General features: G+C 44.7%; 1 long non-coding RNA gene across 1 annotated transcript in view, besides 1 other annotated feature; it reads right to left on the bottom strand.

The window, feature by feature from the left end:
• Positions 1-27,545, bottom strand: part of NCAL1 (NK cell activity associated lncRNA 1) — a 282,375-nt gene that overhangs the window by 132,630 nt on the left and 122,200 nt on the right. The gene's annotated exons all lie outside the window — the stretch shown is intronic.
• Positions 21,095-21,756: an enhancer, noted in NCBI's record as "H3K4me1 hESC enhancer chr2:87882987-87883648 (GRCh37/hg19 assembly coordinates)". NCBI's record gives its function as "activates a minimal SCP1, AML or CMV promoter by ChIP-STARR-seq in naive H9 embryonic stem cells {active_cell/tissue: H9 hESC(naive)}" and the evidence as "EXISTENCE:reporter gene assay evidence [ECO:0000049][PMID:30033119]".

The following is a 27,545-nucleotide window of genomic DNA, read 5'->3' as shown; positions in this document are numbered from 1 at the left end:
CTCAGCAGAAAATGTGATTATAAAAGTTTATAAAAACCCCAATTCCCCAGAGAGCTATGAAATGAGCAGAGTGCAGAACATATTCTATCAGTCTCTTGAAATATTATTTGCCCTCTTAACTGATAAGGCAATGGAGGAAGAAAGTAAGAATGTAATACAAATATGAAAAAGTGACTACCTTTGCCTGCCTTCAACAAACCTAACTTTAAATAAAATAAGAATAATGAACAAATCAGCTAAAAAAGAAAACAGCTTTTCCCCTAGTTTCTTTTGAAGTGAATCTCCCTTTACTTTTTTTAAATTTCTTGGAATCCTACAAATTAAGGCTTCCTTGGAAATGAATGAATTTTTTAGAATTTCAAGACTCAAAAGATAAACAAAGAAGTCTGTTTTTCTTCTCTCACCCACCCCAACCCTGTGAATAACCCCAGGTTACAGCCTGGGTTTCCCTCTGTTCTTTATGTCTATCAGGGGTTTTAGAGCTGGGGAGGTCAGTGGGGGAAGGATGGGGAAGAGGGGGAGGTGGGGAAAGGAGGGAGAAGGGGAGAATAAGTGGGGTGGGCTCATCTCAGAGTGAACCTCGGCTGTAGCTGGGTACAGGATGTCACACGCATGCCTGCACACACAAAATGTACACAGTGAAACCGGGCAATAGAACTATTAAAAAAAAAAAAAAGAAAGAAGGAAAGAAAGAAAATGTACTGCTACATCAGCTAAAAACAGTCGTGTTCTTTCCTGGTTTGATGTCAGCTCCCAGTACTGGCTTGGAATTGCCCACAGCGATCTTGGGCCCCTGCCCACTCAGCAGGCAGATGGCTTTCCCTGCCAGCAACAGGCTTTTAATAAAACAGGATGCTGTCCCACTACTAAGGCCCAGCCTGAGAATGGATCCCAGTCCGTGTGAACTCCCTCTCCAAGAAACAGCAGTTCTGTGTTCCTTATCAGGAAACCCCACTTTGGCGTTCCTGGCCTGGGAGAAAGGCCCCTCTCCCAGGGACTTGCTCAGCAAGTGTTTGCAGGCAGCCGCTGGCCCCTGGAGCTGTCTGCTCTGCAAGGTTCTCACCACAGTGAACTTGCTCCCGCAGGGACTTCTCATTCTGTGCGTGTGTTTCAGCTTTTAGGAAGGCTCTGTCTGACTTTGATAGTCAAGCAGGATGGGATTTAAAATAAGGAGCTGGCTTCTATAGGCAGGATGAGGACATTTCGCCCCTATCTTCCTGCAGCAAACCCCAGTGAGTCACGCCAGGACTGCACTTGAACTGACTTCTCATCTTAAGTGTGAAGAGTTTTATCATTTTGGGGAGGCTCACCCGTCTATTTGTTTACTTCTCATTTGGAATGAAATGGAGTATGTTCCATTTGGAGCAGCAATTTCTAATTTTTTTCCAGCTGCAGTTTGACAAAAGTCCAAACTAAGGAGTAAGATTCCACGGCACCTTCCAAACCCTGGAGCTCCATGGCTGCAGAGCCCAGGACCACCTTTCCTTGGCTGTATACCACCCTCTTGTCCTAGGGTAGAAGAACTGTGATTCTGAAAGTTGTCCCAGAGTATTAGCCCCAGCCCCACAGGCACCAGCAGGATCCCTTTCGTGCCACACTGTCCTGTACAGAGGTGGCCGAGTATAGCATGACATCACAGACTGGGAGACACACATGCTGTCAGGAAGTGGACTTAGATGACATCCTATGACAGTGAATTCCAATGGGAAAGAGAAGTCATTGTTGTTGATAGAGAAGGCTGGACAACCTGGATTCTACCCCCAAATCTGCCCTGACTTCCTGTGTGGCCTTAGACAGCTTGATAGATGTGTGACTCAGTTTCCCCATTTTGTAAAGTACAGAGCAGATTGTTAAAGGACGGGCAAATAACTAGCTCATATGCTGTCACTCCCCCTTCCCTCATCCACTCAGACATTGGGAATCACTCCCAGCACTTTTCTTCCTGTGTCCAGATGTGACAACCCAGTCAGCCACAACCAAACGATCAGAGACAGCCCTGGGAGCAAAGGCTTGTGATGGTTTCTAAGGCTTCTTCCAACTCTGACCATCCATAAGTCCCAGTCTAAGCCCAATACATTTCTGTTTACTTTGAAGTTCTGGGGAGGAAATTGGAGGAATTGGTGTTACAGGTGGTGTTTTCATTCCTTCTCTCACTGGAAGGTTGTGAGTTTGGAAAAGAAAAGGAGAAAGAGGAAGTACATGGAGGGAACATCTGGGCATGTAGATGGTGTCACAGTGGAGAATTTTGTCTCCTGGACTGCAGCCCAGATCCACCTCAGAACAGCGGGGGCCTGGCAGGAAGCAGGAAGTGCTGGCCCAAAGCTGGGAAGAGCAGAGCATGCTGCAGGAGGCCAGCCCATGAGACCAGAAAAAGTGCAATTGGTAACTTCAGAGGGAGGAGTGAAAAGAGCCCAAGTAAATCTATAAAGCCAGGGAAGATAGAGCACAGCACAGGAATATGAGCTAGGACTCTTGAAAGCAGAAGGAACGACCCTTGCTGACTCAAGCAGGGAGGGGAATGAATTGGAAGCTATGAAGGAGCTTGTGAGGTCAACAGGGGTGCTGGATTCTGAGCTGGAGAACCAGGTTCAACTGGGACAAGAGCGCTCCACCATCAAGCGCCTCTACAGGGAACAAACAGCCTGCTGTCCCTCCCCCTGAGACCACTCAGCTCAGCTCAGCTCAGGACCACCCTGGGGCAAGGGAGGAGACACTGTGGACAACTTTCCACTTCCACGCAGGGGGAAAAGCACCTGGATTTACCATGAAGACGGCGCCCAGTGAGAGAGTAGTGCCACAAAAGGACATCGAATTGGGGAAAGAAGAGGCAGTGGATTCCAGGCTGCTGAAAAAGCAATGCCCGGCACTGTGTATAACACAGAGGTGTCACACACAACCACAGCAAGTGACCAGACCAGGTCAAGAGTCAGAGAAGTTAGCAAGCAAACATTAAATCCAATCCAGCAGGCCTGTGGGACAAAGTTAGGAGTAACTCCAAGGTCATTTGCCAGGTGTGGAAACCCATCTGGGAGGCTCAGTGGGGTCAGAGGGTAAAGACAAGGCCGATTAATTACCAGCTCTCAGGAGCGAGCTGAGTGGAGCATGTGGAGGAGTGCAGAGGATGTCGCAGGCAAGAGTCAAGGTCAGGAATGTTCAGACCGAGATGAATGAGGGAATAAAAGCAGGCACCTGTGCACAGGGCTCGGGGTTACCCATCTCAATTCTGGTGGGGTCTCCCTTGCTAGAAAAGAGCTGCATTGAAAGGCCCAGCTGCCCCTTAGCTACAGAGTGGAGGAAGTGTCCAGTTTGTGTCAGCAATATCACTCGCAGTCAGGAAGGCTCATGTGCTCTCTTCTCTGGGAAAGCAAGTCTTCCAAATTCAGTTTGGCAGAGCACCAGTTTGCTGAGATAGGAGCCAAACCTAAGCGCTGGGGTCCTGCTCCCCACCATGGCTATGCCAAGCTGGAGGCTGCTGCTGCGCCACCTCCTCCTTCCACACAGAGCGTCAGAGGAACCAGATGGACACAACTGAGTCCTGAGGACATTACCAGGGCTGTGAACCCAGCTGTGCCGAAAGCCAGGTCTACCTTTGGATGTTGCTTGATGGTAATTCCTAGGGGAAACTTCTCTGAGCAACAGATTCTCTTTTCGTGTTTAAGCCAGTTTGAGGTAGTTTTCTGTCACTTATAACCACAAAGTGTGTCAGTAATAGGTAGATAATAATATTAATACTAACCACAACTAAGCACTATTTCCTTCAATCCTCATAACAACTCCAGGAGGTAAATTCTGTTATCATACACAATTATATCAAATTGAAGAAACTGAGGCTAATGTCCTAGTGCCACACAATATTAACCTGGAGGGCTGGGGCTAGGGAGTCTGAACACACACAGATCCCAAGTGAGAAAAGAGATTAGGAGAAAACCCCAAATTCTGCATATGTATCGTCAATAATCCTGAATAAGCCCAGTGAGGACCAAAAAGAGGAAATAGTTAGAAAAATCCAGTGTGGGCCACACAGGGTACCACTGGTGATCTCAGACTTTCAGAAAGGCATACCCAGAAGATGAGAAGTTGACATGGAGTCAATACCGGGGTTGGGGGGGCCTGAACCTGTGAGAACCACACTGGGAAACCAAAAGCCCACACCAAGCAGAGGCTGAAAATAGGCCCGTGATCTCAGAAGGGTTTTCAAAGCTATTTGAAGAGTGGGACAAGAAAGGGATTACACAGGAAAGATGCTAAAATGTAGAAACTTGAGAAAAAAAAAAAAAAGGAGGCAGAGCCAAGTAATTTCAACTTCACGTCTCTCTCTTCTAGTTAGAAAGATGCTCTTCCAAAAGGTGGACCCCTGGCCTGGTGAGAAGACAGCAAGGTGGTGCTTGGATGCCCTACACAAGTTTAACAATGAAAACTCTTCGATGACCTGGCAGCAACACAGAAACTCAACACAGGGAAGCCCTCTCCTGGGCAAACGGTCCATTTCTAACATTTATAAAAATGGTCAATTGTCGATGGCAATCCCTGAGGGAATATTCTAGAACTACTGACCATCTAGATTGAAAATATTTCAGAAAAAACATAGGGTACAACATGGGTTCAGTACCCCCCAAACAACCATAAATCTTTCATGATGGGGTGATTAATGCTGACCAGGTGACTCTGGTAAGTACTGTATACCAAAAATAACCTCAGCAAGCAGCTGACAGTTTTTCAGGATAGTCTTGTTTTTGAAACGGAGGAATATGGACCAGATGAAAATAAGATAAGAGGGATTCCTAGCAAATTGTAAAATGATGCCCAAATGAAATGATGAACTTTGAAGTCTTATGAAGGGGGACAGTGCCAGGGGTCATATTCCTTCTACTGGCCCAGCCTTAACAGTGTCCTTGAAGGTGAACTTGGAGATGTCCTTTCAGACGCTACTGATGGGGCAGGAATCAGAGCAGTGGGGGGTTGTGGTCAGGATTGAGTGAGCTGGGTGTGTGACATACATACCATTGTTAGGCTGTTGCTCTGGTACTGGCCACCTCTACGCTGCCTGGTGCCCTGTCTTTGGGGGCACAAGACTTGGATCCCCATCTCATCTCCCCATTATAGTTTTGCAATATTCGTCAAATCACTCCACCATTCTGGGATTCAGTTTCCTCATCTGTAGATTTGAAAAAAGATGCCAAAGGCACTTGTGTCTAATGTGTGGGTAACCAGAAGCTGAGAAGGACAATGAATGCAATAAATAACCAAATCATGAATGATTCAAATTCATTTCAATAGGACCGAATATGAGGTCAAACCAACAACACCCAGAAGAATTTAGTTGGAATATATGTCAAGAAAAACACAGTATTAAAAATGCAGCCTGGCACAGTGGCTTACATCTGTAATCCCAGCACTTTGGGAGGCCAAGCTGGGTGGATCCCCTGAGGTCAGCAGTTCAAGACCAGCCTGGCCAACATGGTGAAACCCCATCTCTACTAAAAATACAAAAATTAGCCAGGCATAGTGGCTGGTGCCTGTAATCCCAGCTACTCAGGAGGCTGAGGCAGGAGAATCATTTGAACTTGGGACTCGGAGGTTACAGTAAGTCAAGATCTGTTGCAGTAAGCCAAGATCATGCCACTGTACTCCAGCCTGGGCAACAGAGTGAAACTCTTGTCTCCAAGAAAAATAAAATAAAATAATAAAAATAAAATGCAATCTTAAAGAACATGTCAGGCAGGGCCATGGCTATCTTGACTTGACAGCTGCCTACGTGAAAACAAGATTTGGGAATAACCCAGATGTCCAACAACAGCATGTGAAAGCGCTTAAAAACCAAAGTGACCTGGGAAGTAGCAGATAGCTCTGAAAGCTGAGAATTAGGGGTCAGTTTGAATATTTTCACACCTGGAAATATAAAAGAAAATTATGCTACAAGATGAAACAGCAGACGGTAAATACTGCCTACTCGGTAGATAAAGTTATGTAGAAGTGTTAGATGCAAATTTAGAGTGATTGGCAGTCTTAGGGAGAGATACTTTCTCTAAAAGTTGTACCCTCACCCCCAGAATAAAAAAAAAACAACAACGAGATTTTAGTTGCCATGGGTTTAATGTCAGTCAATAATATGAGTACTAAAAGTCAATGTGGCTTTATTTTGTCTCGGTGGAAGTATAATGTCTCTGCTGGTATGTTCCCCACAGGGCTCATGCCGGTACCAGGTGTGGCAGATCTGGTACCTGGATAAGGATATAGGAGCTCATCCAGGTAACAGGTGTGTTGGAACAGGAAAGGAGTGTAGCCATCCCACACAAGCTTGTTCCAGTACATCTGGACTGCATTTTTTTTTTTTTTTGAGACAGGGTCTTGCTCTGTCACCGAGGCTGGAGTGCAGGGGTGCAATCATGGCTCACTGCAGCCTCAACTTCCTAGGCCCCAGCAATCCTCCCACTTTATCCTCCTGAGTAGCTAAGAACACAGGCATGTGCCACCACTCCCAGCTAATTTTTGTATTTTTGATAGAGACACAGTTTTGCCATGTTGCTCAGGCTGGTTCTTGAACTCCTGGACTCAGGCCTTCCAAAGTGCTGGGATTACAGGTGTGAGTCACCACACCCAGCCTGGACTGACTTTTTCAGAAGGAAACTAATGATAACATCCAGATAGATTAATTAATTCAATGCCAAAAATGAACCCACTGCACAGTTAAAATAAAATAGTAGAACTGAACATTTATCTATACTTGATAGGAATGAAAACTTTCTAAGCATAAAAATAATGGGAATAGTCACACAGTAAAATACTGATAGGCATACAAGATTTAAAACTTTCTAGTCCTAAATGACCATAACAACATTAAAAGGCAAGAAGAAAACTGGGGAATTTACCTGACAGATAGTGAACTAATAATATACATGTGTGTATACATAGGACAAGGCTAACAGAAAAATGGGCAAAAGCCATGAACAGGCATTTTGTAGGAAAACAAATGCAAATGGTCTATAAGAAATGGAAAGATGCTCAAACTCAAAAGCAACGAAATAAATGCAAATAAAAACAGTAAGCTAACATTTCTCTTTCAAGATGAATAAGAAAATCATGTATGCAAGGGTCCAAGTATATGAGCAACAGTGCAGGGGAGCACAGATTACATGCACTGGGCTTGACTGTCCATGCTGGTCTCACTAGCTAGTTGTCTTTGGGTAGTTTATTTATCCTTCCACACCATCATGTCCCTTGTCCATTAACTGAAGATTATCATAACTCTGGTCTCACAGTGCTATTAGGAGGATTGGCTGAGATTACTCTAACCCAGTGGTGACACTTAGAAAAATTGTTTTTTCTAGTTAGAAGCAAGCAATCAGGGAATACTTAAATAAATCATGATATATTTGTTAGATGAAATATTACACAGACATCAAGCATATTGTTAAATGCATATTGTTGAAGGCCATTTCCTAATAAAAAATGTGATAGATGTCATGGTCCCAATATTGTTATGAAAAATTCCACACACACTTTTTTTATATACAGAAAAACATGGCTAAAATGTTGGTTTCTTTCTAGTGGTTTTGTCTGGTGATGGGATTATAGGTGATTTTTTTTTTTTTAAGAAAAACAAAATATGTAAGGACAAAAGAATTTGGAAAATGGTATGGATACCGTACAAAGCCAAAACAAAGCAAAAAATCCTCCAACGGGTCCTGAGAATGGCATTTGACTTGTTTTGATTGCTAGAAACTTTGTAATGTCTGACACAGTTGGAGGAAATAGCTATGTGTGGCCTAGAAGAGATAAGCTTTTTCGGGGGCTGTGACACCTATCTGTATATATTTGATGGATGTCATATCAGGACATGTCCCAATTTTGTTTTCTGAAACAGCACATCACCTGCCTCTCAATGGCAAGACCCTCTAGGGAAAAAAAGACTAGTGAGTCCTACGGAACTTGGAGCCACAATCAGGCCTTCGGGGAGACTCTCACAGCTACTGGTGGGCATCTCCATCCACCAGGAGAGCAGCAAGAACCTATCTATTCTAGGGGTCCCATGGAAACGTCTCCTGCTCTGCACAGAGCTTGGGTTTGATAACTTCCTTCCCTCTCTTCTTCCCTCCCTCTCTCCCTTTCCTTCCTTCCTTCCTTCCATCCTTCCTTCCTTCCTTCCTTCCTTCCTTCCTTCCTCCCTCCCTCCCTCCCTCCCTTCCTTCGTTCCCTCCTTCCTTTCTCTTCCTCTTTAAGATGGGAACCTGTGAAATGATGGGGCAAAGAGGAGAAGCCAGTGTAATCATCAGCAGACTCAACAGTATGGAAGGGAGTTTGACACCATCCCCAGGAATGTTCTGCTTTAACTAAAAAAAAACCATTGGATCCACTTCTGAGATCTGCCACCTTGCCATTCCATGACAACTTGTAGCAGGACAAAATTCACCCAGAAGTTGCTTTATCACAGTTCAGTAGATTTAACACATTGCTCGAGGGACTAGCTCTGTGAACGGTCATCCCCATGGCCTCAGGCATCTTATGGAGGTGCCTCCCACCTTCTTAGTTGCTCTTCCTGCCTGTCTTTCACCTGCCATTTTTTCTGTGCTGGGTCACATCTGCAGCTACAGAGGGGGAGGTCTTTCTGTCCTGCAACACTGGGATCAGAACCTTTTTACCTGGTTGAACAAGTAAGCGGTGAGTTGCTGAATGCAAGTGCCAGATATTCTTGTATTATTACGGTTAATCCTCACAACAGCCCTGTGCAGAAGGTTCTTTCAATATCCTCGTATGAGACTCAGAGAAGTTGTCACTTGAACAGGGTTGTAGGTTCAGCAAGGGTAGCACTGCAACTTGTACCTCTGAAGGCGTAGAAGGTCCAGAGCAGAGCAGTCTTGGACCCAGGCACGTGGAGGGGGACACCTGCGGTTCCCACCATCCAGGATCCAATCCCCTTTCTCCTGGCCCAGAATGCTCCCATGCCTAGCCCGACACTGTGTAGATGGAGCTGCCAGATCCAGAGATGGACAAGTGGCCCAGAACCACTAACCAGCCCACTCCACATCTGAGTCACAATGACCAGCCCAGGATGAGCAGCTGGTCTCATCATTGCCACTCCCAAGACACCTGCCACCTGGGCTGCTGAGAGGACAGGCTGTGCACCAAACTGCTGGCAGCCACTTCCCAGCCCCATGTCTAATGAGTTTAATGATGCCATTAAACTCAGCTGGTCTTGAGCTTTTCAGAAGTAAACCAATATCTTTCTTTCTTAAGCTACTCTGAGGTAGGCATTTCCCCTCACAGCCCAACTGTCTGGACTTTTATACAGATAGGGCCAGCAGTGTGACCAGTCGTCATCAAACCATGCAGGTCTGCCTGCGAGGGAATGGGCAGTGTGGTGTGGAGGAAGGTTTAAGAGGTTATTTGAATGGGAAGTTGCTGGCAACTCTTAGGTATTCTGGAGGTGTTAATTGATGGTGAGGCATTTATGACCAGGACACATTTCACAGCTCTGGGCCACCTAATGTTACTTCTCCTCAAAGCAGGTTTGAAATAAAACCCAACCATTGGCCTTTCTCACCCCACTGCAATTAAATACAAACACCCACAGACACTGGGCCCTCTCAGGCCCGGATTGCGGCTGCCAGGGACACAAGTGCACGGTGGCTGTGTGCTGTGTCACAGCACCACCACACTTGAATTTCCAGCCTCAGAGCCTGTCTTTTGGATCAGCGAGAAGTTGTGGGTGACAGCCTCGTGCCAAGCTCTTGGTGGGCTCAGCTTGGCTCTCTGCTTCTTGGCTTTTACAGCAGGACCCCAGAGTGGAGAACAGGCTCATTCTGGTTTCATGGAGCATGCTCCCTGCTGTCACCATGAAGAAGGTGGCATCTTGGCTCTCAGGGGCCTGGCCAATTGCCCGCAGACATTACCAGTGAGTTGCCTTGTCCCTGGGCACAGGCACTGGAGGCTGCCCTGGCCACTCAGGAGGGGTTTTCATCTCCCCTCTTGGCCCTCCCTCTGGATTCTAACATGAGGCAGGCAGTCAGGCAGTCCTAGCAGAGGGCCGGCCCTGTCCTCCCTGCGGGGGCCTGGGCTGTCACACAGGCAGTGGTGGTTATTCTTACAAACGGCTAAGCAGACTTTTTTAGAAAAGTGAGCTATTAATAGCAAAGTGCTGAGTGAGAGGCTTGGAGCTACTCCCGTGCATGAACTTGTGTGAGCATGTGTTCACGAGTGTGTAAGTCTGGGGGAGCGCGTGCACAGGTGTGCACATGAACACACGGACACCAGGCAGACAGACGCATCCCCTTGCAGTTGTTCACATGCACTCCTAGTCTCCTGGTCTGCCTGGAATCCCATTCTGGAACTGGCCTGCCCCTCTGACTTTTGGGACAAGAAAAGGCCAGGAGAAAGTGGCTGCCTGCCACGCAAGACCAGACATCTGGGTGCCCAGTGTAGTAAGCGCGCTGCTTCCTGGGGCAGAGATGCTGCCCAGCGAGATGTGTGTGGATCCGTTGGTAGGCATGGAGACAGTTACTTCCTTTGCCTGTGATGCTGTGGACCCTGAGAGGCCCAGCCTGGACATTGGTTTTTGTGCTTTCTTCCCTGGCTTGGGAGGAAAGGACCCTGTTGGCTAATGCATGGCAGAAAGCACAGCTTACAGATTTTCTAGTTATGCCCAAGATGAAAGAGGACTTTCTGAAAAGAAGGAAAAAGATGGAGAGAGAGAGAGAATGAAAGCGAGAGAGAGAGAGAAAGAGAGAGATTAAGGGTTGGGGGAACTGGAAGGAGCCCTGAGTAATGTATGGAAAGTAAAAGCACAGAACACTCAGCTCAAGCAATTGTTTTTCTCCTGGAGGCTAAAATTCATGGGCAGGTAGCCAACAGCCACATTAGGATAAGAAATATAATCTGTTTATAATAAGTTTGCAAAATACCGCTCGTTGGCACAGTGAATGTGCAGGACCCCCTAAACTGCCGTGACACTAGCCTTGGCCTGCTGTCTGAGGCAGACACACCGGAGCTAGTAGGTCACTGCTGGTAAAGCCTAAGTCCCCTGGTTGCCTCCTTTCTCAATCATCTATTTCCCTCTGGGGCAGATAAGCACATTCCCAAAAATGACAGCTGGAGTGTCCAAGAGCCAGTGGAAGCCCCTTCTCCCTCCCTTGCTGGAGCTACCATCGCTACCGTTGCAGAGACTTGAAATGACCTCTCCAGGTCGGAAGGCACTCCAGAGATCACTCGACCCCACTGATGCAGGAAGTTGGGTGTCTGCAAAAATCCTCCTGCAAGGCCCTGGCCTCTGCTAGATCACTCCCACTTCTGGGCAGGGTGCCAGCCTGGGCAGCTCTGGGCTGCCTGGCCCTAAAACACATTGTTGTCTTTCCACTCTCTGCACTTTGTATGTCTGTAGTGCCTGCCATTTTTCAAAACAATAGCGAATAAAAACAACAGCCAGCATTTATTAGGCATTTACTGTGAGCCTGGTATTGTCTAAGTACTTTATTTGCATCATCTCATTGTACCTACCCAGCAACCCTCTAGGGAGATACCATTATTATCCCGTTTTACAGACATGAAAATGGAAGCTTAGAGGGCTTCAACAATTTGTCCAAATGTCCTCCATTCGTGGGATTTGTGGTAGAGTGTGGATTTGAACACAGGATTTTTCAATTCCAGAACCCATGCTCCTCCCATCATACCCTGCTATGCTCTCCCTCCTACATGGTGGTCCACAGAAGGCTTCCCTCCCAGCTGCACATCCCAGAACTGGCACAGGCATATCACTACCACCATTTCTGTCCTGTAAACTAGAGAACAGCTTTATTCTAGAACCTCCCTCTGACCTCTGCAAATTCTGTCCGTCTGTTCAGAATTGAACAGATGCTAAAACATTGTGGCTAAAAGCAAGAGCATCAGAATCAAACAGATCTGGTTTAGAATTCTACTTTAGCCTCTTGCCAACCTCGGGCAAATTACTCAACCTCACTCAGTCTCCAGATTTCCATCTGTAAAAACAGAGAGAGCACTTTACTACCTAACAACTCCATGGGATTGTTATAAGAATTAAATTAGATAAAACATAAAGAGCTCCCAGGCTGTATTCGCAGATGAAAGGCAGCTGTGCTAAATACATGGTGACAAACGTGGTAAGTCTCAAAGGACATGTGAGCGGATGTCCTACCATCAAGATTTCACTCCTTCCCCAACTTCAGGGGTAAGAATCCTCCAACATCAGGGGAGGACTTGCTCAAAGTCACACAAACCAGAAATCCTCAAGAGGCCATACTATGGATGTGGCTTTCTAACACTATTCTACCAGTTCCCATGGGGAAGCACCTGAAGAAGTGGGGACGGAGTGGGCAGGGAATCGGGGAAGTGCAGGGCCATGACAGGACTGAAGCCGCACTTAGGAAGCAAAGGACGAGTTCTGTCCACCAATAGCTGAATGCTGAGTACAGACCTCTAATCTCGGCCTTGCCACTGAAGACTCATCATGCAACTCTAGGGCCAGTTGCTCCCTCTCTGGGCCTTGGGTCTTCACTACCATCAACAGCTGACTTGGAAGTTGCCTCTAAAGTGTGCTGAATTATCAGGAATGAAGATGATTTAAAGACATAAGCTTTTTTCTTTGTACCTTCTTCCAACCTTACCTTCTCCAAAAACTCTCCTATGACTTCCTCTTAAAAGGTCCCTGTATTAGTCCACTCTCACATTGCTGTAAAGAAATGCCTGAGACTGAGTAATTTGTAAAGAAAAGAGATTTAATTGGCTCACAGTTCTACAGGCTATACAAGAAGCATGGCTAGGGAGGCCTCAGGAAACTTACTCATGACAGAAGACAAAGCCAGAGCAGGTATCTTCACATAGCCAGAGCAGGAGGAAGAGAGAGAGGGGGAAGGTGCTACACACTTTTAAACAACCAGATCTTGTGATAACTTACTCTTACTATGGCAATACCAAGGGGGCTGGTGTTAAGCCATAAGAAACCACCCCCATGATCCAATCACCTCCCACCAGGTCCCACCTCCAACACTAGGGATTACAGTTCAACATAAGATTTGGGTGGGGACACATATCCAAACCATATCATTCTGACCCTGGCTCCTCCCCAAATCTCATGTCCTTCTCACATTGCAAAATACAATCATGCCTTCCCAACAGTCCCTCAAAGTCTTTTAACTCATTTCAGCATTAACTCAAAAGTTTAAAGTCCAAAGTCTCATCTGAGACAAAGCAAGTCCTTTCTACCTATGAGCCTGTAAAATAAAAAAGAAGTTAGTTACTTCCAAGATACAATGGCGGTATAAGCATTGGGTAAATATACCCTTTCCAAAAGGGAGAAATCAGCCAAAAGAAAGAGGCTACAGGCCCCATGCAAGTCCAAAACCCAGCAGGGTAGTCATTAAACCTTAAAGCTCCAAAATATTATCCTTTGGCTCCATGTCCCACATCCAGAATATGCTGGTGCAAGGGGTGGGCTCCCAAAGCCATGGGCAGCTTGGCCACTGTGACTTTGCAAGGTTCAACCCCCACAGCTGCTCTCATGGACTGGCATTGAGTGCCTATGGCTCTTCCAGGCACAGGGTGCAAGCTGCTTGTGGCTCTACCATTCTGGGGTCTGGAGAATGGTGGCCCTCTTCTCACAGCACTACTACGTAGTGCCCTAAAGAAGACTCTGTGTGGGGGGTCCAACCCTACATTTCCCCTCTGCACTGCTCTAGTAGAGGATCTCCATGAGGGCTCCAACCCTGTAGCATGCTTCTGCCTGGACATCCAGGTTTTTCCATACATTCTCTGAAATCTAGGTGGAGGCTTCTAAGCCTCAACTTTTAAACTATGTGCACCCACAGGCTTAACACCTCATGAAAGTCATCAAGGCTTATGGCTTGCACCCACTGGAACAGCATCCAGAGCTGTACCTTGGGCTCTCTTGGCCACAGCTGGAGCTGTAGCAGCTGGGATGCAGGAAACAGTGTCCCAAAGCTGTGCAGGGGAGTAGAGACCCTGGTTCTGGCCCCTGAAACTATTCTTCCCTCCTGGGCCTCTGGGCCTATGATGGGACGGGCTGCCATGAAGCTCTCTGAAATGACTTCAGGGCCTTTTTCCCATTGTCTTGGCTATTAGTACTTGCCTTCTTTTTAGTTATGTAAATTTCTGCAACCTGCATGAATTCCTCCCCCTGAAAATGGGTTTTTCTTTTCTACCACATGGCCAGGCTGCAAGTTTCCAAACTTCTATGCTCTGCTTCCCTTTTAAATGTAAGTTCCAATTTCAGATCATTTCTTTGTTCATGCAAATAAGCATAGGTTATTAGAAACAGCCAGGCTACATCTTGAATGCTTTGCTGCTTAGAAATTTCTTCTGCCAGATACCCTAAATCATGACTCTCAAGTTCAAAGTTCCACAGATCCCTAAAGCAGGGGCACAATGCAGCCAACCTCTTGCTAATGCATAACAAAAGTGACCTTGCTCCAGTTTCCAATAAGTCCCTCATTTCCATCTGAGACTTCATCAGCCTAGACTTTACTCTTCATATCACTACCAGCATTTTGGTCATAACAATTTAACAAGTCTCTAGAAAGTTCCAAATTTTCCTTCATCTTCCCTTCTTCTTCTGAGTCCTCCAAACTCCTCCAACCTCTGCCCATTACCCAGTTCTAAAGCTGCTTCCACATTTTCAGTATCATTATGGTAATACCCCACTCTTGGTACCAATTTTCTGTATTAGTTTATTCTCACATTGCTATAAGGAAATGCCTGAGACTGGGTAATTTATAAAGAAAATAGGTTTAATTGGCTCACAGTTTTACAGGCTGTACAGGAAGCATGGCTGGGGAGTCCTCAGGAAACTTTTTCTCATGGCAGAATGCAAAGCCAGAGCAGGCATCTTCACATGACCAGAGCAGGAGGAAGAGAGACAGAGGGACATGCTACACACTTTTAAACAACCAGATCTTGTGATAACTTACTGTCACTGTGACAACACCAAGGGGGATGTTGTTAAAGCATAAGAAACTGCCCCCATGATCCAATCACCTCCCACCAGGCCCCACCTCCAGCATTGGGGATTATAATTTGGTGTGAGATTTGAGTGGGGACACAGATCCAAATCATATAAGTCCCTCCCCTGACCATCTCCCTAAGTTCCTCTCCCTACTTCCAGAGCTAAAATGACACCCTGACTACCTCTGGACCAACTGTAATGCCCTACCCACTTACCTGGCTTCTTTTCCGTCATAACAGGTATTCACTAACTGATGTTTTTGTCTTTTCCCTCACTAGCATGTCAACTGCACCAGGCCGACTTACTTACATTTGTTCTCTTCCCCACTGAGCCTTGAATGATTCCTGGCACAGGGAATAGGCCCACTAAATAAGGGTTGAGTGAACAAATGAATGGATGAAGAAATGACTTTTTATATCATTTACGAAAATTACAAACTCGGCACGTCAGAGCTGGAGGTGATATTTTCAAACATTATTACCACGGAACCCTGTGTTCAGATGAAAGTTTATTCACACCATTTTTTAAATGCCCCAAATTAAAATGGCTCTCTTTGGCTTTATTCATACTAGCCAAAACCTGGAAACAGCTCAGATATCCATCAATAGAAGAATGGATCAACAAGCTGTGGTATATGCACACAACGGAATACTACTCAGCAACAGAAACAAATGACTTATAAAACTTGCTAAATATGAAAAACATTAGGCTGAAACAAAGAAGCCAGACAGAAAAGAGTGCATGATATCCCTTCTATTCATACTGCATTCTAGAAAAGATGAAACTAATCTAGGAGGTGTAAAAAAACAAAACAAAACAATGTTTGTCCCCGCGAGGTGGCTGGGGAAGGGATTAGACTGTGAAGGAGGAAGAAGGAACTTGTGGGGTGATGGATGAGTTCTGTATCTTGACAGAGGGGTGGGTGGTACTCATCAAATGGTGCACGTAAGAATTGCATATTTCAATGTACCTAGAATTTTCTTTTTATTTTTTGAAATTTGTTTTCTTTTATTTTACTTTTAGTTCTGGGGTACATGTGTAGTATTTGTAGGTTTGTTACATAGGTAAACGTGTGCCATGGCAGTTTGCTGCACCTATCAGCCAATCACCTACTTATTAAGCCTGACATGCATTAGCTATTTTCCTGATGCTCTCCCTCCCCTGAACCCCCACCTGCAGTGGCAGGCCTCAGTGTGTGTTGTTCCTCTCCCTGGTTCCATGTGTTCTCAGTGTTCAGCTCCCACTTATGAGTGAGAACATGTGGTGTTTGCTTTTCTGTTCCTGGGTTAGTTTTCTGAGGATAATGGCTTCCAGCTCCATCCATGTCCCTGCAACGGACATGATCTCGTTCCTTTCTACGGCTGCATAGTATCCCATGGTGTATATGTACCACGTTTTCTTTATCCAGTCTATCACTGATGGCCATTTTGGTTGATTCTATGTCTTTGAACATTGATTTTTTAAAAAGCCTTACCACATCCATTATAATTGTAAGGTTGCTCTCTAATATGAATACTCTGATGTTTCCATTTTGATGTTCAGGTAAAAGCCTTAGCATGCACATTACATTTCTGTGGTTCCTCTCAAAGATGTATATTCTGCTGTCTAGTGAGTTCTGATGCCTGGGCAAAGCCTGATGGCAATGTATGTATAGTTTTCATCTCACACAAGAAAAAGAAAAATATAAACTAATGTTGAGCTGTAGTTAATGATATGCATACTGAAATGTGTAGGGTCATATATTTGCAACTTCTTTTGAAATGTATCCAAAAAAAGAAATGAGGAGCTTCTCTTCCAGAAAGCTGCAGTAGACATACTTGTCCCATTGCTTCTGCTAAGCGCCACTAAAAAGTGTAGATGTTATATAAAAAACATGCACAAGAAGACTCTGAAAGATGGAGAGAAGACAGACTGTCTAGAGATCTTGAGACTGGAGGAACAACATGGTGGAGAGTGCCCTGGTTTCTTTCTGTCTTGTATATCCCAGATATATAGTTGAAGAAACTGAACTCAGAAATTCCAAATGAGACCAAGAAGGCCCCAACAAAAGCCTGCTCTCTCCAGCCTAAGGAGCTGGACAGTGGCAGCCCAGCAAGACAGAAAAGCTTTGGGCAATAACCGCTCCACTCTAGCCAAACACCACTTAAAATACCACAGCCCCACCCCAATCACAGGTCCTTCAGGAATAAAATGGAAATAAAGGCATTCTCAGGAGAGGGAAAACTAAAAGTATCTGTCACCAGCAGACATACTATAAATGAACAGCTAAAAAAAAGTTTTCTAAACAAAAAGCAAACAGTAAAGGAAGGAATATTGGAGCATCAGTAAGGAAGAAAGAACATATTAACATAATAGTAAGCAAAAATATTGGTATGTATAATAGACTTTCCTTCTTCACTGGACTTTTCTAAATTATGTTGACAGTTGAAGTAAAAATTATAACTATCTAATGTGATCCTAAATATATGCAGAGAAAATATTTAAGCAATTATATTATAAACAGAGAGGATAGTAGGACGTAAAGAAAGGTAAGTGCCCTACACTTCACTTGAGCTTGTAAAATGATGGCACTAGAAGATTGCATGTCTCAATAGATGCAGAAAAAAATTTGATAAAACTCAGCAAACGTTCCTGATAAAAAGTCTAGCAAACTAAGAATAGATGGAAACTTCTTCAACCTGCTAAGGGAACATCTATGAAAAGCCTATAGGTAACATCATTCTTAATGGTGAAAGACTGAGTGTTTTCCTCTTAAGATCAGAAACTCTCACAAATTCAACATTGTACTGAAGGTGCTATCCAGTGCAACAGCAAGAAATGGAAACAAAAGAGATTGAGATTGGAAATAAAGAAGAAAAGCCATCTTTATTTGTAGATGACATGAGTGTGTATGCAGAAAATCCTATGAAAAAAAGACTACTAGAACTAAAAATGTGACTTTAGCAAAAATATAGAATATAAGGCTAATGTACAGAAATCAATTATGTTTCTATATACTTGCAAAGAACAACCGGAAATTGAAATTTTAAAAATACCATTTATAATGGGTCAAAACGTATAAAATAGGGCAAATGTGATAAAAGATAGAAAGATCTATACATTGAGAATTATAATGTAATTGCTAAAATAAATTAAAGAAAACCTAAGTAGGTTCATAGGTCAAAAGACTCAATATTTTTAAGGTGTAAATTTTCACCAAATTGATCTTAAAATAATTTGAATTGTAAGTTCTCATTAAATTGATCCATAAATTCAATGCAATCTTGATCAAAATTTCATAAGGGCTTTCTTTTTGGTAGAAATTGACAAACTGATTCTAAAATTCGAATGTAAATGGAAGGGACCTAGCACAGTCAAAACAACTTTGTAAAGGAAGAACAAAGTTGAAGGACTAACATTGCTTGATTTTGAGACTTGTTATAAAGCTACATTAATCAGGACAGTGGAGCCTTCTATTATTGGCATTGCTTATACAGAAGCAACCAACAATCCTTCCCTCTCCGTAATAATGCTCCTGAAATCGAGAGGTAGAGTCTCATACCCTTCTCCTTCAACCTGGTCTGGCCATAGCAACTTGCTTTCCTTACAGAATATGGCAAAAGAAACTATAGGATGTGTAAGCTAGGTCACAGGAAACTTTGCAGCTTCTGCCTGGGTCTCTTGAAACATGTGCTTTTGGAAAAGTCATTCTAGGGTAAGCCACTACTAAGAAGTCTGACTTTCCTGAGAATGCCGTACTGTGAAGAAGTGAAAACTAGACACATAGATAGGAGGTAGGGAGAGAATTAGAAGCTCAATCATTCCCCAGCTGTTCCAGCCTACTCCACTGAGGTGCTAGATATGGAAATGAAGGAGTCATATGTGGCCTTCAGCCTCCTTGAGCCTCCAGATTGCTGCTCCAGCCATCATCCAACTGCAAATGCATGAGAGAACCCAAGTAAGAATTGCCCAGCTGAACCTGGCCAACCTCCAATATCATGAGAGATGAAAATAAATTGTTGTTTCAAGGCCAAAAAAATAAATCAAGACAAACATCAATGGAACGTTAGAATCAAGAGTCCAAAAATACACTGATTTTCGACAAAGACATAAAACAATGCAGTGGAGAAATGTCTTTTCAACAAATGTTGAGGGAACAATTGGGTAAACACATGTAAAAAAGTAAACTTTGCTCCATGCCTCACACCATATTTAAAAATAAGTTCTGGGTCGGGCATGGTGGCTCACGCCTGCAATCCTAGCACCTTGGGAGGCCGAGGCGGGTGGATGGCCTGAGCTCAGGAATTCGAAACCAGCCTGGGCAACATGGTGGAACTCTGTCTCTACTAAAATACAAAAAATTAGCCGGGCGTGATGGCACACACCTGTAATCCCAGCTACTCAGGAAGCTGAGACAGGAGAATCGCTTGAACCTGGGAAGTGGAAGTTGCAGTGAGCCAAGATAGTGCCATTGCACTCCAGCCTGGGCGACAGAGTGAGACTCCATCTCAAAGAATAAATAAATAAATAAATATAAAAACGAGTTCAAAATTGATCATTACAGATTGAAATTTCTACAGCTTCTAGGAGAATATTGTTGTGACTTAGGTTAGGCAAAGATTTCTTACATCAAAAGCATAATCTGTAAAAGAAAATATTGACAAATTGGATTTCTTTGAAATTAAAAACAAAAGACATTGTTAAGAAAATGAAAGAACAAGCTACAGGCTTGAAGAAAATATTTGCAAATCATACACCTAATAAGGAACTTGTATCCACAATACATAAAGAACTCCCAAAACTCAATAATAAGAAATCAAACAATCCAAATAAAAAAAATGGACAAAATATCTAAACAGACATTTCACCAAGGAAGAGTTATGAATGACAAACAAGTATATGAAAAGCGTCCCATCATTATTAGTCACTAGGGAGATGCACATTAAAATCACAACGAGATACGGCTATGCACCCATTAAAATGAATACAATAGAAAAGACGGACCTTAGGAAGCACTGTCGAGGATGCAGCGCAAAGGAATCTCTCATACAGTGATAATGGGTTTTAGAAATAACAGGGCTGTCATTAACCAAATCTTTTCCAATCCTAGTAAAGGTATTACTGTCTAAATTTCAGTCTTCCTCTTCATAGGGCCACGGTAAAACCAGCTTTCCAGTGTCTCACAAGGGTACCCCCAACAGCAGTGAGCTTTGCACTTTAAGCAATCTGGGGTGGCTCTAGCTTAGAAACAATCTTTCTGGTGTTTTCTTTGAGGCACCAGACAACGAAAGCCACGAGACACAGCCTACTGTGTGTTCAATGGTCTGTCCAGCTCTCTTGGATTTGGTTGTTGGTTCCTTTAAGGCGTCTTGAAAGGCAGCGTGGTGCCCAATTAAATGAAAACCAGGAAGGCATAATGCACCACGACTATCAGCAATCAACTCTAGACAGTTCGTTGAGGACAGAACAAAACTTTGTGTTTCAGCAAGTGCTTTTCTGTCTGCCTCTCTGCCTACAGTTAGAGGAAGGGGCCAGGTTAAGGCCAGAAAAGATTCTGCTTTAGCTGATAAAGGGAAAGCTCTGTGCCAGGAACCCTGTGGTTTTCTGTCTTTGGAAGTTCTCCCCTCCGGGGCTTAGGAGGGAGAGATACCTTCCTCCTAAAGCATCGTATCGCCTATTGCCCAGGGGAAGCAAGTCTCACACATCCGGGCCGGGAGACCCTGATCACCCCGGGCTGCGTACTCGATTTCAGGCCAGCAAGACACTAGGTTTTCTCTCTTAAATGTTTTAACTGTCGAGTTCCATGCTCCGCCTCCTCGGGCTTCTTATCCTGCAGGGATAGGCGGAGGGAGGCAGCTTCCAGGCTGGGGTGGGAGAAGCACCGGCGGCGCGCGCTGCGGTCGGTGCGGGTCCGGGAGCGCAGCGCAGGCAGCGCGTGGCCTCGCGGTGAACTTGGCCGCCGGCGAGGCTGGGCTTCTCGGGCGCTGGAGCCCCAGATCCTGACAGAGCCAGGCTGCCGGCTCAGCGTTGTGTTGTGACAGAAAAGGCTGCCTTTTACCTTTCCTGAAAACAATTCCCGGGATCTGTTAGAGGGGAGGTTCAGTCACTCTGAAATGACCAGCGACATCTCTTAGAGCCAAAATCAGTCAACGCGGAAAAGACACTCCAATTTTTAAAACCAATAGGTAGTTGATAAATGGAGCTGTCAGTCTAGAAGCCCCCTGGGCCCAGCGTGCTTCTGCAGAGCCGGGTATTTTCAGAGTCGGCGCTCTCTGAGATTCCAGCTGGTCCACCCGGCGGGGCTCCTGTTGGCCTCACAGAGCACGTGGCTTTGCGGGATGTGATGCGACCCCAGCGTGGGCTTAACTGATGCTAGGCACCAGGCTGTGGATCCAGAGACCCCGGGACACACAGAAGTCCAGCTCTCATCCCTCATCCAATTTCACTTTTTTTTTTTTTAACCCTCAAAAGATCCAGATGCCGTTTTAGGGGGACAGGATGTATTGAAGATTTATAAATGGAGCAATCTCCTAATCAAAATAAACATCATCCAATCATGCTCACAGGGTGGTGGCAAATTAGTGGCAGCATATTTTGTTTTCTTTAGCAGTGATCCATGATTGATTTATGGATTAAATTGTGCCCTGTGAAGTACATATATATCTGTGAACTGTCTCCCTAAGCATTTCCTGTTCACCTCTGTGCCACATGCCTGGCTGAAGGAGAGAATTGTTTCTCCTCTAGGCAGGAGCTGTCTGCATAGCTCCTTGGGCTGGGATAGTGTCTGCTTAGGGCTGCTTTCGGCTTTGTCTTCTGCTCTGTCCTCTGAGCTCAGCAAAAGGCCTATAAAAAGGAAGGCCGACTCTCCTACACATCCACAGGGCCCCCAAGCTCTTCATCTGTGAAGTGGGACAATAATGCTTGTCTTACCAGTCTGATAGTGTTCTTTTGAGGATACAGTTCATTAAGGTTGGAAAAGATGCTGGTGACTGCAGCCTTTGCTGATCCACTTTGCTTGTCTGTGAGATAAAGGAGATGATACATCTTTATCAGTAATGCTTCAGTTATTTTATTTTTAAAAAATAAATTGCAGTAAGCATTATAAAATATTACAGTTGTTACTCCTAGAATGTGGCTACACAGGTATTTATGTTATTCTCTGTGTTTTTCTGTGTCTTTCAAAGTCTTCTCATCCAATAAAAAGAAAATAAAAGGCAAGAAGAAAGAGGAGTTATGCAAAATCTGGTACCCTTAACTTAGACTTTCTCTGGTTCTATGGACAGGAAAATGCTCACAAAACCTGAGTCCTGTAGGAATGAGAGGTATGACAATTATTCATGATATTTCTGTTCCTTCCATTGCTCTGAGAATTTACTAAAATCCTGCAGCAGGTTTCACCCCTACACTCAACCCCATTTGTCTAAGGCAGCTGTTTGCTCACCAGGCTGATTTGCTGGTGGAATAGGAATTTTCTAGCTGAAGAAGGGTAAGCCCAGGATGATGTCATTTATAAGATTTTGCTTCCATCTCCTCCTCCCTCCCCAACAATCCCAACCTGTACCAAATAGGAACATACACCTGTAGGAAGAGAAACTATGATCTCTAGTCATTAAAAATGTGCTTTGTATGATGCAATCCCAAATGCTCTTGGGCTTAACAAAAACACATTGCAAGACTCACATTGACATTGACATTTCCACTCCTCTAACTTAAAAACAGCCAAACTAAATTAAGTAACAACAACAACAAAAGTTGTTTCCCACACAGTTTGACCAGATCTTACCACCAGTCTTCAGCCTTAAAACAATTTTCATGCTTGAGTTATTAACTTATGAAAATAGGCACAAAAGGGGGAAAATGTGCACAGATCCTCGCTACTTTATTAGTCATTGCTACAGCTGAATGCGTTCTGGTACAAAGGCATGTTATTCTGCCTGCCAGTATCTCGGTTTTGAACAAAATGCAGCTCACTAATGGGTTCTGCCTCATATACCTTTCTGTAATCATTACTTTGCCATTCTCTGTAATTTATCCTGTTTTTCATGAGGAGTGTGTCCATTAGTCAGGCGTGTGCACACACATGCACACACAGCTTTTAAGTCCCCTTTCATTTGTAGCTGAAAAGAAAGGTCAGAGAGCTGCCAGTCTTTCGGGGGGAAGCACTACTGCGCTGATTGTGATAATATTTGGAAAACAGAGTGGTGGATGTGGTGGATGGATATAAATAGATCCTGAAAATCTAGTGAATGGAGGGCAGCAACATGAGTACATGAAGGGGATCTAGAAGCAGACTGGCAAAGGTGGAGACAGAATGGGAGAGACTGACCTGTCCCGTGTTGATCTCTTTATCTGGGAGGGGCAGTGTGGGGCTGACATCTTCCTGGACCAGACAGAGACATCTTGCTCACTTGCTCAGTAATCTCAAGTTTGGGGGATGAGCTCCAAGATTCCGACAGGAACCCCCTTTTGGCAATTTCTGGCTTGGGCTCAGAGGTGCTGCCCCAAGCCAGTCTGAGCCAAGTGAATAAAGGAATGGAGTTTTGAGCCTATTGATTTTTGCTTCTGTAAACTCCAGAATTAGTTATAGAAATGAAGGCTTTTGAGTGTTTACTTTTGAAAAAAAAAAGAGCAGGCAGGAAAATAATTGGGAAAAAATACGGATGAGATTTTTTTAAAAGCTTGATGAAGATCAAGGTTTTCACAAGCAAGTGTGAATCACTAGAACCAGCTCCTCACAGATCAGAGGTCTGCAGGGGGCTGGGGATCTGGCAAACAGGCCCTCCGTGGGCAGGGAGCTCCCCAACAATTCTCAGCCAGCAAGAGAAGCCTTTGGCATTGTCCTCTTGAATTAGGATAACAGGATTCTCCATCATACACTTGCCTGGTTAGGGAGGCAGTAATTGTGAACTGAACATGTTCTTTTATCCTCTTTGAAGTGTTCTTTTATCCTCTTTGAATGCTTTGATTTTGCTCTTTTCTCCTCATTAAGACAAATATGGCTCCTTTTTGCCCCCAGGAAGCTAATCTCACCTCCCAAGCCAACCAGGCATCCTGCTGCTCAGCTGAGTCCAATCCCAAGGAGGTCCTCTCCTGTCCTTGCCAAAGACCCCTCTACCAGGATTCTGACCCAGGCCCAGGTGCAGGGCATCTCAGTGCTTCACATTGTTCTGGGAGCCCAGGGTGCATCACCATGGAGCCCCAGCTCACGTGACAACATAACAGTGTTCGCAGTAATTCTCAACCCTAGATATCCTGTTCACTACGAAACACAGGCATGTTAAGTTTCCCTGATACTGTCCTGCAGAGGCTAGCAGGCTGCACAGAATTTAGGAAGACAGAGCCCCTCAAAGATCTGGAATCTTTGGCAATTACAAAGCCCAATCCTGCCCACAGCCTTCTTTTACCAGAGACAAAACAAAATGGTTTGCCCAGAGCCTCACTGCCAGACAGTGGCAGAACTGAGTCTGGAAGTGGCCTTGCTTCTCCCAGCTGACATTGAACCCCTGAGGCTCATCTGCCATCAAACTCCTACCTGCAGCCCTCACGTCCCCCCTCCCAGTGCCAGGGCAAAGTCAGTGAGATGGAAATCTGCAGACTGGAGCAGGTGGGTTACTCGGAGGCCACTGAAGGTGGAATAGGTCCCTTTTGCACTGTCTTCCAACCAGAGAGGAACACAGGCCAGTGGGTCAGAGTGCTAGGCCCCAGAGTCACAGACACAGGGCATGGCCCAAAGGGCCCAGTGAGGACATTCCTGCAGATGGCTATAGGCTGGTAGAGAGCTAGGAGGCCTGGTGAACTCTGTCGTGTGGGCAATGGGAAGGTGGACAGAGGAGTGTTCTTGAGAAAGAAATTCAAAGCTGAGAAAACATAACCCCTCCTATCTCATTCCTCTTAGGCATAATCCCCACGGGCAACAGGCTCAGTGTCTGGCTGAATGTGCACCTCTCTTTTGAATCCTTCCCCCATCGATGAGGTTGGTGTCACAAATTAGACCCTCTCCCCTATTTTCTTCTTTTCAACAATCTTAACCATTTTAAGTGTACAGTTCAGTAGTGTTATGTACATTCACATTGTTATGTGACCAATCTCCAAAACTCATTTCATCCCCCAAAACTGAAATTCTTAGGCATTAAACAACTCTCCATTCCCCAGTCCTGGAAGCCACCATTCTTTTTTGAGACAGAGTCTCTATCACCCAGGCTGGAGTGCAGTGGTGCGATCTCAGCTCACCACCACTTCTGCCTCCTGGGTTCAACCGATTCTTATACCTCAGCCTCCCGAGTAGCTGGGATTATAGGTGCACACCACCACACCTGGCTAATTTTTGTATTTTTAGTAGAGAGGGGTTTCACTATGTTGGCCAGGCTGGTCTCGAACTCTTGACCTCAAGTGATCTGCCTGCCTCGGCCTCCCAAAGGGCTAGGATTATAGGCGTGAGCCACCGTGCCTAGCGCACCATTCTGCTTTCCATCTCTATGCAGTGGACTACTCTAGGTACCTCATATAAGTGGAACTATAGTGTATTTGTCCTTTTTTGTCTGGCTTCAGTCGCTTAGCATAAAGCCTTCCAGGTTCTTCCATACTGTAGCATATAGCACTGTTTCTTTTCCTTTTAAGGCTGAATAATATTCCACTGTATGTATAGACCACATTTTGTTTATTCATCCATCTGTAAACACTCGGGTTGTTTCTACCTTTTGGATATGGCAAACAATGCTGCTATATTGGAATAAGGATGTGCAAATATTTATTTGAGATCTTGCTTTCAATTTTTTTTAATACACACCTAGAAGTGGAACTTCTGGGTCATATGGTTGTTCTATTTGTGATTTTTTGAAGAACTGCCATCCTGTTTTCCACAGTGGCTGTAGCATTTCATATTCCCACCAAAAGTGCAGAAGGGTTCCAATTTCCCCACAACCTTGCCAACACTTGATATTTTCCGTTTTATTGCTATTAGCCATTCTAATGGTGTGGGGGTGATGTCTCATTTTAGTTTTTATTTGCTTTTCTCTAATCATTAGTGATGCCAGTCATCTTTTCACATGCTTTTTGGCCATTTATTAATATATATCATCTTTGTAGAAATATCTATCTAAGTCCTTTGCCCATTTTCTAATCAGGTTGTTGTTGCTGAGTTATAGGAGTTCTTTATCTTCCCACTCCCTGGACCTTTTTTTTTTTGTTTGCAACTGAAAAACTAAAGGCTCAAAGAGGCAGACGGCCTGCTGAAGCCTTTGCCCAGGGGCTGCTTAGCAGCAGCAGCAGGGAAAAACTAACCCTGGCTGACCCTAGCTTAGGTAGCAACTACAGAGCTCTCAGCCCATTCTCCCAGCCACACAGTCTCAGAGCAAATACTGTCCATCAAATGCACACTCTGTGTTCATAGCCTCATGTGCCAAATTGCTGTTGGAAAACCAATGGCAAACACTGGTTGCAGAGAACACAGAAGCATGTAATATCCACTTTAATGGTGGTTCCACTTTCATATTTTTTCTCCCCTCTAAGGAAAGGGAGAGAGAAAAACCTGTTCGTGGAAAAAATATATTTAAATGGATCAGTGCCAGGGAACCATTGGCACATCTGTTCTTAACAGGTTTCAGCTGAAACTACTGAAAATATACATAGATCTGTTTATGTGGAACCAGTTAAATATGATAAGATTACAACTTGGAGGGTAACTATGGATTTGGTGGTGGAAAAAAAAATCCCCTCCACACTTGGTCTCCGCATGCACTCATAACATTTTACCACAGATGTGTTGAGGGAATCAGATTTGCTGCAAATGGAAAAGACCTGAATTATTTGAGATTAGCTACAAACAAACTCAAGATGTCCCCACCGCCTTTCTGCAGCACATAATTCCTGCCTCGTCTCTAATCTGGGCCCAGTCCTTTGTTATCAGAGAGGAGACTGCAGCCAGGGAATCACCCATTTCTGAGTGAGTCTGTCTTCACTCCTCCAACTAGCCATTTAGGAGGAAGACAGTGTGCACACTGCTTACACAGAGAATGCACAGTTGTCTTCCTTACAGTTTTCAGCATCCCAAAGGACTCCATGTTCTCTTGAGGCTGTGCAGGCAGCAAGGAGGGAGTGTTGGCTGAGGGGCTCCCAATGGAGGCCCTGTGCTCCTTCTGGAGTCTTTTTCTATGTAGTACTCACAACCACCCTATGAGGTTGCATTGTCACCCCCCTTACAGAGATGAGCAAATTGAGGCTCCAGGCTCTAGGATAATTTGTCCAGGGCCATGCCAATAATTAGATGCTCTAAAGGAAGAAAGATGTTTCCTCCCATCTAAATATGCCTTAACAGGAGCATCACTTGAGCCCAGGAGTTCAAGGCTGCAGTGAGTTATGATTGTGCCACTGCACTCCAGCCTGGGCAACAGAGCAAGACCCTTCCTATGTTAACAATAAATAAACAAATAATACATGAATAAGCCTTGAGGCAAGGTCATGACTCAAATATCCACAGGGTCTAGCAGGAGCAGGAGTGAGGGGCCCTAGGCAGCTAATATGGGGCCATAGCAGACTGATACTGGGGAAAATGCAGACCTTGTGGCCCAGATCTTCTGGTTTTTGTATAGAGAATGAGAAA

This window comes from Homo sapiens, chromosome 2 (genome assembly GCF_000001405.40).
Source record: "Homo sapiens chromosome 2, GRCh38.p14 Primary Assembly".
NCBI lineage: Eukaryota > Metazoa > Chordata > Mammalia > Primates > Hominidae > Homo > Homo sapiens.
The sequence above is the reverse complement of the archived record's forward strand: the minus strand, read 5'-3'. Positions and strand labels throughout refer to the sequence as shown.